Source organism: Homo sapiens, chromosome 9, assembly GCF_000001405.40.
Source record: "Homo sapiens chromosome 9, GRCh38.p14 Primary Assembly".
NCBI lineage: Eukaryota > Metazoa > Chordata > Mammalia > Primates > Hominidae > Homo > Homo sapiens.
Window position 1 is genome coordinate 132,782,153 of NC_000009.12, and position 15,551 is coordinate 132,797,703.

A 15,551-nucleotide genomic window follows, 5' to 3' on the forward strand; every position below is an offset into this window, starting at 1 on the left:
GCCCTAAATCAAATCGGTTCTTGAATATTCCTCCTGTGTGCTTTTCCTCCCTGTGTTGGTCCTGTAGTACTGGTGCTTGGGCTCGGTAAGTAAAACAGTCATTTTTCCCCCCAGGCTTCAGAAAACCAGCACAGGATTCTCTCCCCTGACCTGTTAATGACACCCTGCCCCTGCCTTCTTTAAAGTGATTGTTCTGCATTTTCCCCAGTGCGTTTCATCTTCACATAGCTGATGCGCTCACAAAGAAGCTATGCAGGCTGGGAGCAGTGGCTCACGCCTGTAATCCCAACACTTTGGGAGCCCAGGGCGGGTGGATCACCTGAGGTCAGGAGTTTGACACCAGCCTGACCAACATGGTGAAACCCCGTCTCTACTAAAAATACAAAATTAGCTGGGCATGGTGGCACGCGCCTGTAATCCTAGCTACTTGGGAGGCTGAGGCAGGAGAATCACTTGAATCCGGAAGGCGGAGGTTGTAGTGAGCCAAGATCGTGCCATTGCACTCCAGCCTGGGCAACAAGAGCGAAATTCCGTCTCAAAAAAAAAAACAAAAACAGAAGCTATGCAACTGATGCTGTGACATTAACCACGTCTGTGGCATTAACTATGTTAGGAAGAACAGAGGGTGGACACTTAGCCTTTGGGTACTTTGGTCCCTGGAATTTCACAGGAATAACGGCAGTAAAACAGGATGCTCAGGTTAACACTATCAGATCCCCGCTGCCCTGGGCCTAAACAGGTTTCAGTCTTCCAATGGGAAGCTCTGTAGCCCAAACTCTAGGGATATAATTCAGAGTTGAGGAGATTCTAACTTTGGGAAAGGCAGAATAATGCCTGCCCCCAACTCCAAGATGTTCACCTCTTAATTCCCAGATTCTGTGAATAGGTTATCTTACCAGGAACAAGGAACTTTGCAGATTGGATTAAGTTAAGGACTGTGTTGATATGGTAAGATTATCTCAGGTTATCTGGGTAGGCCCAATCTAATCACATGGCTCCTTAAAATCTGAGACCCTTTCCCGGCGCTGGTCTCAGGGAGACATGAGTACAGAGGAAGGATGGGAGTTGCACTACGGCCTCTGAAGATGGTGGGAGGGGTTGTGAGCCAAGGAATGTGGAAGCCTCTAGAAGGTGGAAGAGGCAAGGAAACGGATTTTGCCCTAGAGCCTCCAGGAAGGAATGCAGCCCTGGCAGTGCCATGATTTTTAGAACTACAGAATTTGAAGACAATAAATTTGTGTTGTTTTAAGCCACCAAGTCAGTGGTAATTTATGATGGCAATATAGGTAACTAATATGCCAACTCACACTATTCTTAGACAAACAACCAGCCTATTCAAAGGTAAAGGATTTACAGAATATATCCATCTTGGGACCCAGTTATAGGTGCTACCAAAAAATGGAAGGAAAGGGGCATAAAAGTTAAAAAAAAAAAAAAAGAGAGAGAGACAATGAATACCTGTTAGAAAATGAATTACTCCAGGAAACATAAGAACATTTTAGATAAAACCTTACCAGAATGTTCTAAATAATTTAAAGAGAATGGACTCCATGATATAGGAAGTGAAAGAAAAGATGATGAGATTTTTAAAAAGGAGATGCAAAGAAAGCTCACAAAATGAAGGAAAAATGCCTAAGGGGAAAAGTAAAAGCATTATGGAAACAAAAAAACAAATGAAAAACAGCAAGAAATAAACACAGCAGAAAACAGTCAGTTACCATGAAGGTCAGAGTGGAGAAAATAATACCAAAAAGAGTAAGGTAAAAGCCACCAGCAGAAAATCCGAATTATGAAAAGCTGATGATAAATATCTAACACACACATAATTGGTCTTACTGAAGAAGAAAACCAAGCAAATGAACCAGAAAAATATTAATATATCTACTGGAAGAAAATCATCCTGAAATACTGTAAGTGAAAGGGTTCCTAATGTCCAGAGAAAAGTAATAAGGAGAACCAAGACTGAGCTATGGCCTGGTGATTGTAAATGAACTTAAAGAGAAAGAGAAGGGGGTAGGGGACACAGACAGAGGCAGAGAGACAGAGAGATCTCCCGAACACCCAGGCAAAAGAAACACATCCATAGGCCGGGCGCAGTGGCTCATGCCTGTAATCCCAGCACTTTGGGAGGTTGAGGGGGTGGATCACCTGAGGTCAGGAGTTCAAGACCAGCCTGGCCAACATGGTGAAACCCTGTCTCTACTAAAAATACAAAAAGTAGCTGTGCATGGTGGCACACATCTGTAATCCCAGCTACTCAGGAGGCTGAGGCAGGAGAATCGCTTGAAGTCAGGAGGGGAAGGTTGCAGGGAGCTGAGATTGCGCCATTCCGGCCTGGATGACAGAGTGAGACTCCATCAAGAAAGAAAGAAAGAAAAGGAAGGAGGGAAGGAAGGAAGAGAGAAAGAAAGAAAGAGAAGGAAAGAGAAACACATCTGGCAAGATGTCAGAGGCTGTGCAGAAGGGATTTGGAACACTGAGGGCGGGGGAGGAGCTTGGGGAGAGAAAGAAAGAAACATGATCAAAGAATTCTTTGCCAGATGTTGTTTACAAGTAAAAATAACAGAAAGACATTCTCAAGTATGCAAAAATTCAGGAAGTTTAGTATCTATGTACCCTAGCTGAAAATGAATCAAAGACATAATCCATTCAAATGAAAGATAAAATCAAAATTAATAAATGAAGAGGTTGAAATATATAAACAACTGGTGTTGAAATCTTAATCCAGTTTTAAAGAGAATAAAAACTTTGTAAGTATAGTAATTATAGTTAAAAACAGAATATAATTGTTATATTTCTAGAAAGAAAAGCTTAATCAATACTGATTAAAAACAATAATCTGTGTATAATAGACTGGCACAGAAAAATTTCAGGATATGTCTGTCCCTGGCTCCCCCAAAATGGAGAATGGCTGGAGAAGGGGGATGAGGAGGCAGTACATGTGGGATACTCTTTTTTTTTTTTTTTTTTTAGATGGAGTCTTGCTCTGTCGCCCAGGCTGGAATGCAGTGGCGTGCTCTCGGCTCACTGCAACCTCTGCCTCCCGGGTTCAAGCAGTTCCCTGCCTCAGCCTCCTGAGTAGCTGGGACTACAGGCGCCCACCACCATGCCCGGCTAATTTTTGTATTTTTAGTAGAGACAGGGTTCCACCATATTGTCCAGGCAGGTCTTGAACTCTGGACCTCGTGATCCACCTGCCTCGGCCTCCCAAAGTGCTGGGATTACAGGCGTGAGCCACCACGCCCAACCGACATCTTTCATATGAAGGGGTCAAGATATTCTGCTGCATTTCAAAATCAACAAACTGAGAAATAAGGTTTAATCAAGTCGTGTTGAAGAGACTATTAGAACTATAAACAGATTATCTTCTAAATTAACGGAAGTGGGGCAGGTAAGAAGCTAACAATAACAAGAACAAAACTCAAAACACATCCCATAAAGAAAAGATGGAAAACAAAGGAAACCATAATGAAGCACAAAATAAAGTAAGAAAAGCAAAAATAAGTGGGATAGACTCAACTATTCAAGGAAAAAGTCATTTCAGATTGAAGAAAAAATATCAAACCCAATTTCATTCTGTCCACAGTGAAGACAACATCTACGGGCTCCACCCATGCATCCAGAGCTTCCATATAGCTTTTTAGTTGTGTCATCAACAAAAAATAAGAGAAGCAAAATAGTTGAAAGTAAAACTTAGGAACATGCAAATGTAACAAAGAAATCAGAGTTTGAATTCCAGATAAAAATGGCTTCTTGAAACCCGCACCAGATTTTGTTTCTTCCCCAAATCCCACAGAAAAACGATAGGAAAGGCACTTTGAAAACCTAACCTACAAGGACAGAAAGAACAGGGAAGAAGAAGGCAATCAGACAAAGGTTTCGATGCTGGAAAGCAGACTTGAACCAGAGGCAACGAGCTGAGGCGGCCTCAGAAAGCCAAATCCTAAATCAGTAGTAGGAAAGCTGAGAATCAACCTCATCTTCCCCAGAAAATCCTCAAAAGGCTCAGGCACAGGTGCCACCTGGGAACTGGTGGCTAAAATAAGGGGGCTTGGTTGAAATTTGTTTCAGAAGAGAGTGAGTCCTAGATCCCTTCCTCACTCCACCCAGCTGAGTGAATGTCTCTCCTCCACTTGGGAAGAAATTAAACATTTATTCTCTAGAGAGGATAAAATACAGGCTCTTTGGGCTGAAGAATGCCAAGCACAGTTGAGAGCCTGAGTCTATGGTAAACACAGGGGAATTAAGTAAAAGTATGCAAACTGCATGCAGTATGTGAGACCCCTCCCCTGCCCTTCCCAGTGTCCTGCTTCTCCCCTGGACCCCCAGAGAGGGGGTCCTGGCAGCAAGGCCTTTACCCTCCAGCAGGAGACTGCATGAGTCCTCTCTGGGGAATCGGAGCAGCCCAGAGGAAAAGATCTAAAGATGTTGACACTTGGTGGGAGGGTTCTGCACAAATGGCCCAATTTTATCACCCCAATGATACCACCCTACAGTGAAGACTAAACCTGTGGGCTCTTTCCATGCACTCAGAGCTTCCAAATCGCTTTTTAGTCTCCCATTCTTAGACGTGAGCAAACAACCAAGGGTAATTCAACATCTAAGGGTAAAAAAAGACTCTGCTGAGAAAGAATAAGACCAAGACAAACAAAAATTCAATAGAAACTGGTTATGCAGAAAGGAAAAGGAAAAAAGCCTATCTCCCCATCCTCCTAACAAAATCAAATATGTCATTAACATTTTCAAGAGATAAAAAAACCATGAAATAAGATCAAGAAACTATAAAAGGAATATTCAGAAAACAAAAAGCTCTTGAATATTACAGAAATAAACAAACCCAAGAGCAGAAATTAGAATTCAATAAAAATGTTGGAAGAGAAAGTTGAGGAAATCTCCCAGAAAGTAGAGCCAAACAAAACAAAAAGCAGCAACTGACCACACACACACATACACACAAAATACAAGGGAAAAAAGATATTTTTACAACATTTAGAAGCCCAGTCCTGAAGATCCAATACCCAAATAACAGCAGTTTCAGAGAGAATAGAAAAAAGGGGAAAAAATCATTAACAAAATAATTCAAGAAAATGTCCCAGGACTGAAGGACACAGGTTTCAAGATTAATTTCTGGTACGGTGGAGTAAATCTGACCTATACCAAGGATATAATGAAATTTCACTGTGAAATTTCAGAACCCTGGAGACAAAAGGAAGAGCCTACAAACTTCCACAGAAAGAAAAAAGTCACGTATGAAGGCTCAGGATCAGATTGGCATTGGACTTCTTAGCAACACTGGAAATTCAAAATTCCACGGGAAAATCATTTCCAGCCTATAGTTTCTCACCCAGCCAATCTATCCAACAAGTATGAAGATAGAATAGACACTTTCAGATAGAATAGTAGGGCCCCCAAAATTTACCTCCCATACACTGTTTCTCAGGAAGTTACTGATAGATGTGTTCAACCAAAACAAGGTAGTAAACCAAGAAAAAGGAAGCCATGTGATATAGAAATAAAATATCGAATATGGGAGAGGGGTAAAGAGAATCTTCAGTGTAGTAGTGAAAGGCAATCCCAAAATGATTGTTGTGTACAGGCATAAAGGGTGACTTCTTCAATTTAGAACACATGTGTTTCCGGTGTAACAGTCCACTGCTTTTAAATCATCTTTTTAACTTGGGAAGCAACTAGAGGTTATGCTTTGTCAAATCAAGGGGGTATATAAAAGGAAGATGTGTAACTCAGGAAGTAGAGACTCCAACTCAAAAGAAAGCCAAGGGGAATTCCTCTGATTATAGTAAAGAAAAGCCCCTGATGATCAACTATGCAGTAAGCCTAGAAAAAAACCAGTCCAAACAGAAGAGGAATGGGAGTGACCAAAAAAAAAACAACAACCTGAAACTGACAGATTACACAATATGATGGACTTTGTGGGAAATTGTTCTGAAAGGCTATTATGAGATGTGGAAATAATTAACTAATAGGTACAAAGAAAACTAGACAAGTGAAAAAGCAAGATGATTATTAACTTCAGGAAAATCAAAAAGAAAGGAAAGGAAAAACAAAAAAAAGCTAACGCCTTCCAGCTGAGTTAGATTCCTTAAAGCAGGTTTCCTGGAAAAACCACAAAATTGTATGCTTGTATCTCATTAGCCAGAACTTAGTGTTGTGGCTCCATATAGCTGTAAAGAAGACTGGAAAATGGGATCTTTTATTTTCAGACACCAAAGTACTCCTCTGAAAATTGATCTTTTGTTATTGAGGAGGAAAGTTAGAATAAATGTTGGGGTAGATAATTAGCTGTCTGTCACTGATGGTCACTTTCATCAAGAATACATTTCACAATGAACACATAGCTGACAGAAACCTTTATGCACTAAATAACATAGCACCAAAACACATAAAGCCAAAACTGTAGGAAACACAATAAAAATTAGTGGCACAAGATATTCAAATTATGTTAATATATTTAAAGACAGGGGAAAGGGGTGATTTTCTAAGAAGAGACCAATTGCACAAGAAAAGAGAGAAATTCGAATTGACCAAACACCCTGAACAAAATCAATCAAATTGTTAACAAGCTACCTCTGCCCCAAAGTGCCAGATCCAAAAAAACAGTTACTGCCTGAGTTTTAAAAACTCTCTCAGATATGGAGAAAGAAAGAAAATCTACGAAATTTTCACATCACTGATACTAAAGCCTAACAAAGCACAAGAATGTGGAAAAATTCTAATCCATATTATAGATGCATATTAATGCAAAAAAAAATGTAGCCAATACAATCCAACAGCATGTTAATTTCCTTGTGCTGCCAATATCATATTATGACAAACTTAGCTGCTTAAAGATACTCAAATTTGGACTGGGTGCGGTGGCTCACACCTGTAATCCCAGCACTTTGGGAGGCCGAGGTGGGTGGATCACAAAGTCAGGAGATCGAGACCATCCTGGCTAACACGGTGAAACCCCGTCTCTACTAAAAATACAAAAAATTAGCCAGGCGTGGTGGCAGGCACCTGTAGTCCCAGCTACTTGGGAGGCTGAGGCAGGAGAATGGCGTGAACCCGGGAGGCAGAGCTTACAGTGAGCCAAGATCGCGCCATGCACTCCAGCCTGGGAGACAGAGCGAGACTCTGTCTCAAAAAAAAAGATAATCAAATTTGGCTAGGTGCAGTAGCTCATGCCTGTAATCCAAGCACTTTGGGAGGCTGAGATGGGTGGATCACCTGAGGTCAGGAGTTCGAGACCAGCCTGGCCGACATGGTAAAACCCGTCTCTAATAAAAATACAAAAATTAGCCATACATGGTGGCACACACTTGTAATCCCAGCTACTCAGGAGGAGGAGGCAGGAGAATCACTTGAACTTGGGAGGCAGAGGTTGCAGTGAACAGAGATCATGCCACTGCACTCCAGCCTGGGCGACAGAGTGATACTCATCTCACAAAAAAAAAAAAAAAAAAAAAAAAAGAAAGAAAGAAAAGAAAAAAAGATACTCAAATTTATTATCTCCCAGTTTCTGTAGGTCAGAAATCTGGTATGGGTCTAACTGGGCTTAGGTCAAGGTATCAGCCAGAGCTGTAGTTCTCACCTGGGGCTCACTGTTGGTTGAATTCATTTCTTCTCACATTTTCCACGGCCCCCATCTTTGAGCCACCAATGCTGTGTCATGCTTAGAAATCTCTCTGACTTCCTCTTCTGCCCTCAGTCAGGAGGAAACTCTGCTTTTAAGGGTTTGTGTGATTATTCTGGGCCCACCCAGATAGTCCAGGATGACCTTTCTATTTTAAGGTGAACTGATTAGTAATCTTAAGTATATCTGCAAAGTCCCTTTTGTCATGTAATGTAATATTCAGACGCATGACAGCAGGGGGCAAAGGTCCTAAGGGTCAAAATTCTATCTGCCACAAGCAGTAGAATAATATTCCATGAACGAACAATATGCCATGACCAAACCAGTTACTATAGGAACAAAAGACTGGCTTACTAATATTAACATAATTTATAATACCAATGTGTCAAAAAGGAAAAACAATTTTAAAGGATGCTGAAAAGCTCTTGATAAACATTAACTAGAGATTTTAAATCACGGAGCTATACTTCTTTTTTTTTTTTTGAGACGGAGTCTCACTCTGTCGCTCAGGCTGGAGCGCAGTGGCGTGATCTCAGCTCACTGCAAACTCCGCCTCCTGGGTTCACACCATTCTCCTGCCTCAGACTCCCAAGTAGCTGGGACTACAGGCGGCCGCCACCACGTCCAGCTAATTTTTTGTATTTTTTAGTAGAGACGGGTTTCACCATGTTAGCCAGGATGGTCTCGATCTCCTGACCTCATGATCCACCCACCTCGGCCTCCCAAAGTGCTGGGATTACAGGCGTGAGCCACTGTGCCCGGCCAACTTCTTTAACTTCATACAAATTGTATGCACTTCAAACCAAAAGCCAGTAGCACCTTAATGTCAGCAGTACCAGGACAGCCCTTATGGTCAGGAAAAACCACCGTGTCGATCATGACACCCTGTTCTGAAAGTACCGCCCAACAAGAGTAAAATGAAAAGTATAAATATTGAAAAGGAAGAGGCAAAAGGATGAGTATTTGTAGATGACATGGTCATCTACCTGTAAAACCCAAGAGAATCAACTGAAAAACTATCCAAAACAGTAAGAGGGTTTGAGAAGGTGGCTGGGGTATAAAATAAGTAAGCCAAAATCAATGTCTTTTGTATACTCTTGAAAAACCCCCTTAGAAAATATGGAATGAAAATATCTTATTATAATATCAGTAAGAAGAACAAGAGATAATATACCTAGAAATAAAATAAAAAATGCGAGACCCAAGGAAGTGTTGATATTTTCACTAGAAGCAAAGACAGAATATATCCATGTCAAACTGTAACGGATTGTATTAGTCCGTTTCACACTGCTATAAACAACTACTTGAGACTGGGTAATTTATAAAGGAAAGAGGTTTAATTGATTCACAGTTCCACATGGCTGGGGAGGCCTCAGGAAACTTACAGTCATGGCAAAAGGTAAAGGGGAAGCAAGGCACATCTTACATGGCAGCAGGAGAGAGACAGAGAGAGAGCAAAGGGGGAGGTGCCACACTTTAAAACCATCAGATCTCGTGAGAACTCATTCACTATCATGAGAACAGCATGGAGGAAACCGCCCCCATGATCCGATCACCTCTCACCAGGTCCCTCCCTAACATGTGGGGATTATAGTTCAAGATGAGATTTGGGTGGGAACACAGAGCCAAACCATATCACAGATCAATTTGAAAATCTAAGGCAATTCCAGCTAAAATTTCAATGGCAGTTTCTTTTTGTACATGATAAAATCATTATAGTGCTCGTTTGGAATAATAAATATATAAAATAGACAATAAAGAAGATCAATGAGAGGGCCTTGTCCTGCATTGACTATTGAAATACAGATATGACAAAAGTAAAGTAGTTAAACAGAGAGGTACTACTGCAGAAATAGACACTCAGAAAAGAGAAAGTTCAGAAACAGGCCCAGTATATTGAGAGACTAAACACACAGTTTGATGATGGTCAGACCATATATAAAAAGAGAACTGGAACCCACAACCTGCAGCAACCTGCCCGGGGTGTCAGACCACAATCTCTGCAGCAATCAGCCCCAAAGGACCAGGACTTGATCAGGAATTGACAGCTTCCCTCATTTTTGCCACCATTTGCAAGGTATGACCAACCAGAGAAAGCCAAATATGTTCCCTTAACCAGTCACACAGGAGGCCCCGCCTCTAGTTAACCCACCCAGCTTCCCCAAGCCAACAGCCTCCAACTGGGGCATGGTAGAACCGAAGCCTTTCCCACCTTCCACTAGAATGCTGTCACCTCCGCTGCCTGCCTGTGAGCCTCTGCCAAAACGCCAAGCAATGGTGGCTGACCCCTTGCTATTGCAAGCTCAGACTAAATAGCCTTTGCTTGCTTTCACTTTGGTGGGCTTCACTGCTCTCCACAATATATACAATTGTGATGAGCTCTCAAGTTCAAACTAGTAGAGGGAAGACAGAACATCCAGTGATATTCAACACTCTGAACAAATGGTTAACCATTTGGGGAAAAAATAAAAGGGGGACTCATACTGCCTACTCACATCCAAATAAATATCAGCTGCACCAAAGATTTAAATATAAAAATGAAACTGTAAAAATAGTAGAAGAAAACATCCATTGATTTGTATAACAATTCCCCAAGGAAGGCAAGACTGGTATTTATTACTGTTTTACAGATGAGGGTCCATCAAGGAGGGTGAAAGCCAGGATTTGAACCCAAGCCTGACTCCTAGTCCACCGGGCAGATGGGATGGGTGGGAATGGGGATGACCAGGAGACATTCCACTTCAGGAACACGTGAAGGCTTGTGTAACCTGGACCCCTTCAGCTGAGCCCTGGAGAGGGGGTGCCCAGGGGCTTGGCCAGGGCTGCTGGCTTGGCTGGGGCAGCTCACCTGTTGGGATTGTAGCCCAGGCGGTTCAGCAGGTGTGCCTGGTCGAGGTCCCGCGGGACGCCGTGTAGCACCCAGCCTTTCTGGATGCAGTCCTGCTGGTCCAGGCGCTGGCTCAGCACCTTCATGAGGAGGCTGTCAGGAACTGCAGAGAAGGGGGGCAAGTGAGTACCCTGCTGGCCGGCAGCCCATGGGTCCTGGGCTTCCTAACTTTACTTGGCCATAGATTGAGCTGCTGAAGAAGTGGGTCTAGGTGGAGCCACTTGGAACCACTTGGACAAGGTTGTCAGTGCCTATTTCCCAGGTCCCTCCTCGGTCCCAGCAACGGGGCTGCGTGAGATGGGAAATGCACTGGCTGACCTTGACCTCGGTCTTTCCCTTTCCTGGACACGACACCATCCCCACCTGCAACCCAGTGAGATGTGAGCAGATTGTCCCCCTGTCTTAGTCCATTTGGGCTGCTATAGCAAAATCCCGTAAACTGGGTGTCTGGGGAGTCTAAGATCAAGTCAGATTCAGTGCCTGGAAAGGGCCTATTTTCTGGTTCACAGATGGTGCCTTCTTGCTTCATCCTCACCTGGTGGAAGGGGTGAGAAGTCTCTCTGGGGTCTCCCTTATACGGGCACTAATCCCATCCACAAGGGCCCCTGCCTTGTGACCTCATCACCTCCCAAAGGTCCCATCTAACACCATTGTCTTGGGGATTAGATTTTAACATATGAATTTTGGGATGACACATTCAGACCATAGCAACCACTATGGGCCCAGTTTTTGCAGCAAACACTTTTCCTGGAAGCGCACCAGCTCCAGCTGCAGTTTCAGTTTTCCTCAAGTGGGACTGTGCCAGCGCCCCCAAAGCTCTCTGCCAGTCTGTGATGCGCTAGCAACGCCCACTCCCCTTTCCCAAAATTCTCCAATTCTCCCATCCTTGATGCTTAGAACGAAGTCTCTCCCAAGAATCACAGAACTAGTTATAACCAAAGACTGAAATAAAGTCCTAAGGAGAATGAGATATTGAGAAGCCTCTTGTTTACATTGCGGCAATTGACATTTTCCTGAAATTCATACGTCTCTTCCCAGACTCATTAAATGTCCTATGTTGCTAATGTACTGCGTTCTAGCAATTTGCACTGTGTTTCCTGCACTTTGCACTCATTTTTCCAGAAATACTTGGTAAATATTACCATTGTTTGCTATGACTGTGGCCCCATTGGAACTGGTTCCTAGGGGTGTGGTGGCAGTGAGTTTGGCAGTTTCTCTGGAAGCTGCCTGGTTACCCTCCTACCGACTGCCCGGGGGTCTGGCAAGCGGGCCTGAAGCACACATTTGAAACCTTCCACAGGGCCCCCCAGGCTGACAGCCAGGTGAACGTGGAAGCAAGAGATGCAGAAAAATCACTGCCAGCCGTTTTCCCTGTGGCCGTGACTTGCTGGGTTGCTGCCCTTGTCACCAAAAAACCATAACCCTAATTCTAAGCAGTCTGCATTTCCCTGAATGTGTTCTCTCTCATGCCCTTCAGCCTTTCTTCCCCAGTCCCTAGGAAAGAGCAGAAAAGGGTTTTTGCTTTAACGAGAACATCTGGCTATCTAGCATGAATGAGAAGTCACTTCAGCGAATCCCATCCCTTCCCCTGCTTCAAACCTGCAGGGGCTCCCCAGTGCTCCGAGGATAAAGAGCAGTCTCCTTTCCAAGGCAAGGTCTGTGCCCTGCCTTCCTCCCAGGTGAATCTTGCCAGCTTGCACCTCCCTTCGAACGTGCCACCTCCTCCATCCGGAACACCCTTCTCCCACATCTTGCCTGGGCCAGCCTTCAAACTCAGCCTCAGGGCCACGGTGTGATGTTCCCTCCCCAGGGAAGTCTCTGAGGACAGCCCCCAGCCTGCACTTCTCATCCTCCCTCACTTGCCACCCTTGTTATCACAAAGATACTTCTCTCTGGGTGATTCTTTCTTTAATGTCTGCGTCTCTTTCATGGATGGGTCCCATAATAACAAAGAACCATGTCTCTCCCATTTTTCCCTGCCTAGAAAGATGTCTGGCACATAGTAGGTGTTGAATAAATAGAAGGCTTCTCTTTTTCAAATATTTCAAAAGTAATCAACTCTGTTAAAATCAACTTGACCAGACTTTGGGGAAGCCAGGTTGTAGACAGAACATGGGCTTGGGGCATTCACAAATCCAGGTCTCATCTCAGCTCCTCCCTTTCTTGCTGCCTCATCTCCAGGCAGTCTCTCACTCTCTGAGCGTCAGCTTCCTATCTGCTGAAAGGATAAGAGGACCTGTTGTGACCGGCTCACACCGCATTTACGATTCTGGCACACAGCCGACACTCAAAGGTGGTGGCTATTACTTTTCAATTCAGGAGATGTGTGTGGGGAAGTGATGCTTCACGAATATTTTCACGGTTGCCTGTGGTCAGGGCGTGCCAGCAAAGACTGTTGGCACCTGGGATAAAGGATGACAGATTAAGAACAGCCTTGGAAGTTAAAGACAGAGACCTCCAGAGAGACTTAGGGACCTCTGCCTCGAGACATTTGTTTACATTCAAAGGGCTGTAAACCTAGTGACCTCCTCCTCCTCTCCCCAGAAGGAGTCGGAGTCAGAGTCGGTTCCTTCCAGAGTAAAGCTCGGGAGGGAGCTGGCATGTTGTCTTGCATAAGCTCCAAGAGTCACAGTGTTGGGGCTCCCCTCCTGCTATAGACCCCCTGTACACTCGGGGTGCACTTGGCTCTTTCCACATTGCCTGTGAGGAACTGGGGCGTGGGGAGCCAGCTCTGAGATTACTGTGTGAAAGAATTTGGTCTGTCCTCTGATCCAGAGACCTTGTGTTTTCTTGCCAGGATGAATAAATACCGATTTAAAACAATGTAGGGTAAGAATCTGCCATAGAGCCTTCCAGTCCAGGTCTACCCTTAATATTTACAGATATTTTCACGGAAAGAAGAAACCAATACAGAAATAATCCTATCCCCACGATTCACCCAGTGGGTAGTTGCTGACCATCTAGGCTGTGCCAGGCACTGTGCTGGACATGGGATACGGTCTACGCAGCAAGCCTGACTGCCAAGGCCCCCGGGCTCCTGAAGTTCACGCTGTCTCGGGGAGACAAACATTACCCAGGTAACAAATAACCATTTCTAAGAGTCATGGGTACTGTGAAGAAAATCAACCAAATGATGGGAGGCTGATGGTTTGACCGGGCCTAGGACGGCTACTAAGGAGGCCGCATTTGGCTGAGATCAGAATGGTGGATCCCGCTAATAATCCAGGCCCACTAAGGCCTCCATTGTTTAGCGGTGAGAATTATTTGGACCAAATATTTTCTGAGTGTCATCTCTAATAATCAAGTATGGCTTGGAAACCCAGCTGCACTGTAGGTGGTCTGACCTTTGGAGCCACAGCTTTCTGAGGGCCTGGAAGGTCATCCCATTGACCTCTTGTTTCAAAGTTAGGAAACTGAAGCCCAAAGAGGTTGTGGTTTAAGTGACCCGCCCAAGGTCATCTAGCCAGCTGGTGATCAGGCTGGGATAGGACCCTGATCCCCGGCCCATAACACCCCCAACTGTTCTGCTGCCTCATTACCCAATGGCCTGGAGCCCCTGAGTCCCTCACATTGGCCACTTACGAACCAATACAAAGTTTCTCAACTGAGGAGAAATCTGACTCGAGGGAAAAATGGAAGGCCAGATAGAAATACAATGAGGTTTTTGTTTTTGTTTTTTCTGTTAGTTGACAAAGATTTCTAGAGAGAATTTCCCAACTTGCATCAAAATTTAAAATGTACATGTCTTTTGACCCAGCAATCCTATTTCTAAGAACTTGAACCTAAGAGGGGAAAAAGATGTGTATACAAAGATGTCCATTTCAGTGTTGTTTACAATAGTGACAACTGGAAATGATCTAGAATGTCCATCAATAGAGGACAGATTAAATCAAAGAAGGTACATCTCTGCAATAGAATATTAGACAACCTTTTAAAAACAATCTCTATATTAACTTGCAAAGTTAATATAGACAGGTCGAGGCAGAAGTCTATGACAGAATGAGAAAAAAGCAGGTAAATAAACGGCTTGTATACATGGTCTAATTTAAACATATATTCATATGTGACTATATTAATATATACACATACATACATGCTACACACACACACACACACACACACACACACACACACACACACACACAGAGGGAGGGGGAAGGGTGGCCGCCACTTCACGCTCCATGAATCGGACTCAAGCCCTTGCTCATGGAGCCCAGGGTGGTGGAGGTGAGAGGGCACCCGGATGTAATGCAACACAAACCTGGCAGGAAAGCAGAGGTCACAGAAGTAGGAAGTGCTGGGGATGTCGGAGGCAGGGAGGGCCAAATTTCCAAAAGATTGAGGAAGAAAGGGAATGCTCACGCTGGTTCCCACTTTGAGCCAAAACCCAAACAAACCCCTCTCTGCAGGAATCAGGAAACACAGGCTCTGCAGCCAGCACTTCCTGGAAGGGCTCATCACAAGCGCACATCAGTAACAACTGATGTAGTATCCACTTAATACCTGCATTCCCACCCCAATGCCCACCCCATGAAAGCAGGGATCCCCCCAGTAGGGTCAGGCTCATTGCTATACCCCAGCACCTGGCACAGTACTGGGCCCACGGAAAGCATCTAATAAACACGAAGGAAGGAAGGAAGGGAGGGAGGGAAGGAAAAAAGGGAACCATTTCCAAAACCCAGGAAGTTCTTTAGTTCCTCAAGCGTTCATGGGCCAGAGAACTTAAGGACTTTTCTCACCAAGCACTGAATCAGGTCCTGCGGCAACAGAAAATAACCAAGGGAGACGCTTCCTCTCAGTCGTTCCATTCATCTCTACGTGATCACCCACTCGTGAATTAAATATGCAGCCAAAAGAATGAGCACTAGCACCTGGGGTTTGTTGGGAGGGGTCTCTGGGGTAGGGGAGGGTGGTTCTAGATGCAACAAGGGTGGCCACAAGCACGTGAGGTTCATTATACTAGCGATGGCTCCCACAGGTTCATTATTCTATTCTCTCTGCTTTTTAGATGTGTTTAACGTTTTCCACTAA

General features: G+C 44.2%; 1 protein-coding gene across 12 annotated transcripts in view; it reads right to left on the reverse strand.

The window, feature by feature from the left end:
* Positions 1-15,551, reverse strand: part of AK8 (adenylate kinase 8) — a 153,469-nt gene that overhangs the window by 56,575 nt on the left and 81,343 nt on the right. For 11 of the 12 annotated variants that reach the window (NM_001371771.1, NM_001371773.1, NM_001371772.1 and 8 more), the window contains one exon: positions 10,482-10,623. The exons of the other annotated variant lie outside the window; for it this stretch is intronic. In NM_001371771.1, coding sequence (NP_001358700.1) covers positions 10,482-10,623 — 142 coding nt within the window. The remainder of the gene's footprint in view (positions 1-10,481; positions 10,624-15,551) is intronic. 12 annotated transcript variants of the gene reach the window in all.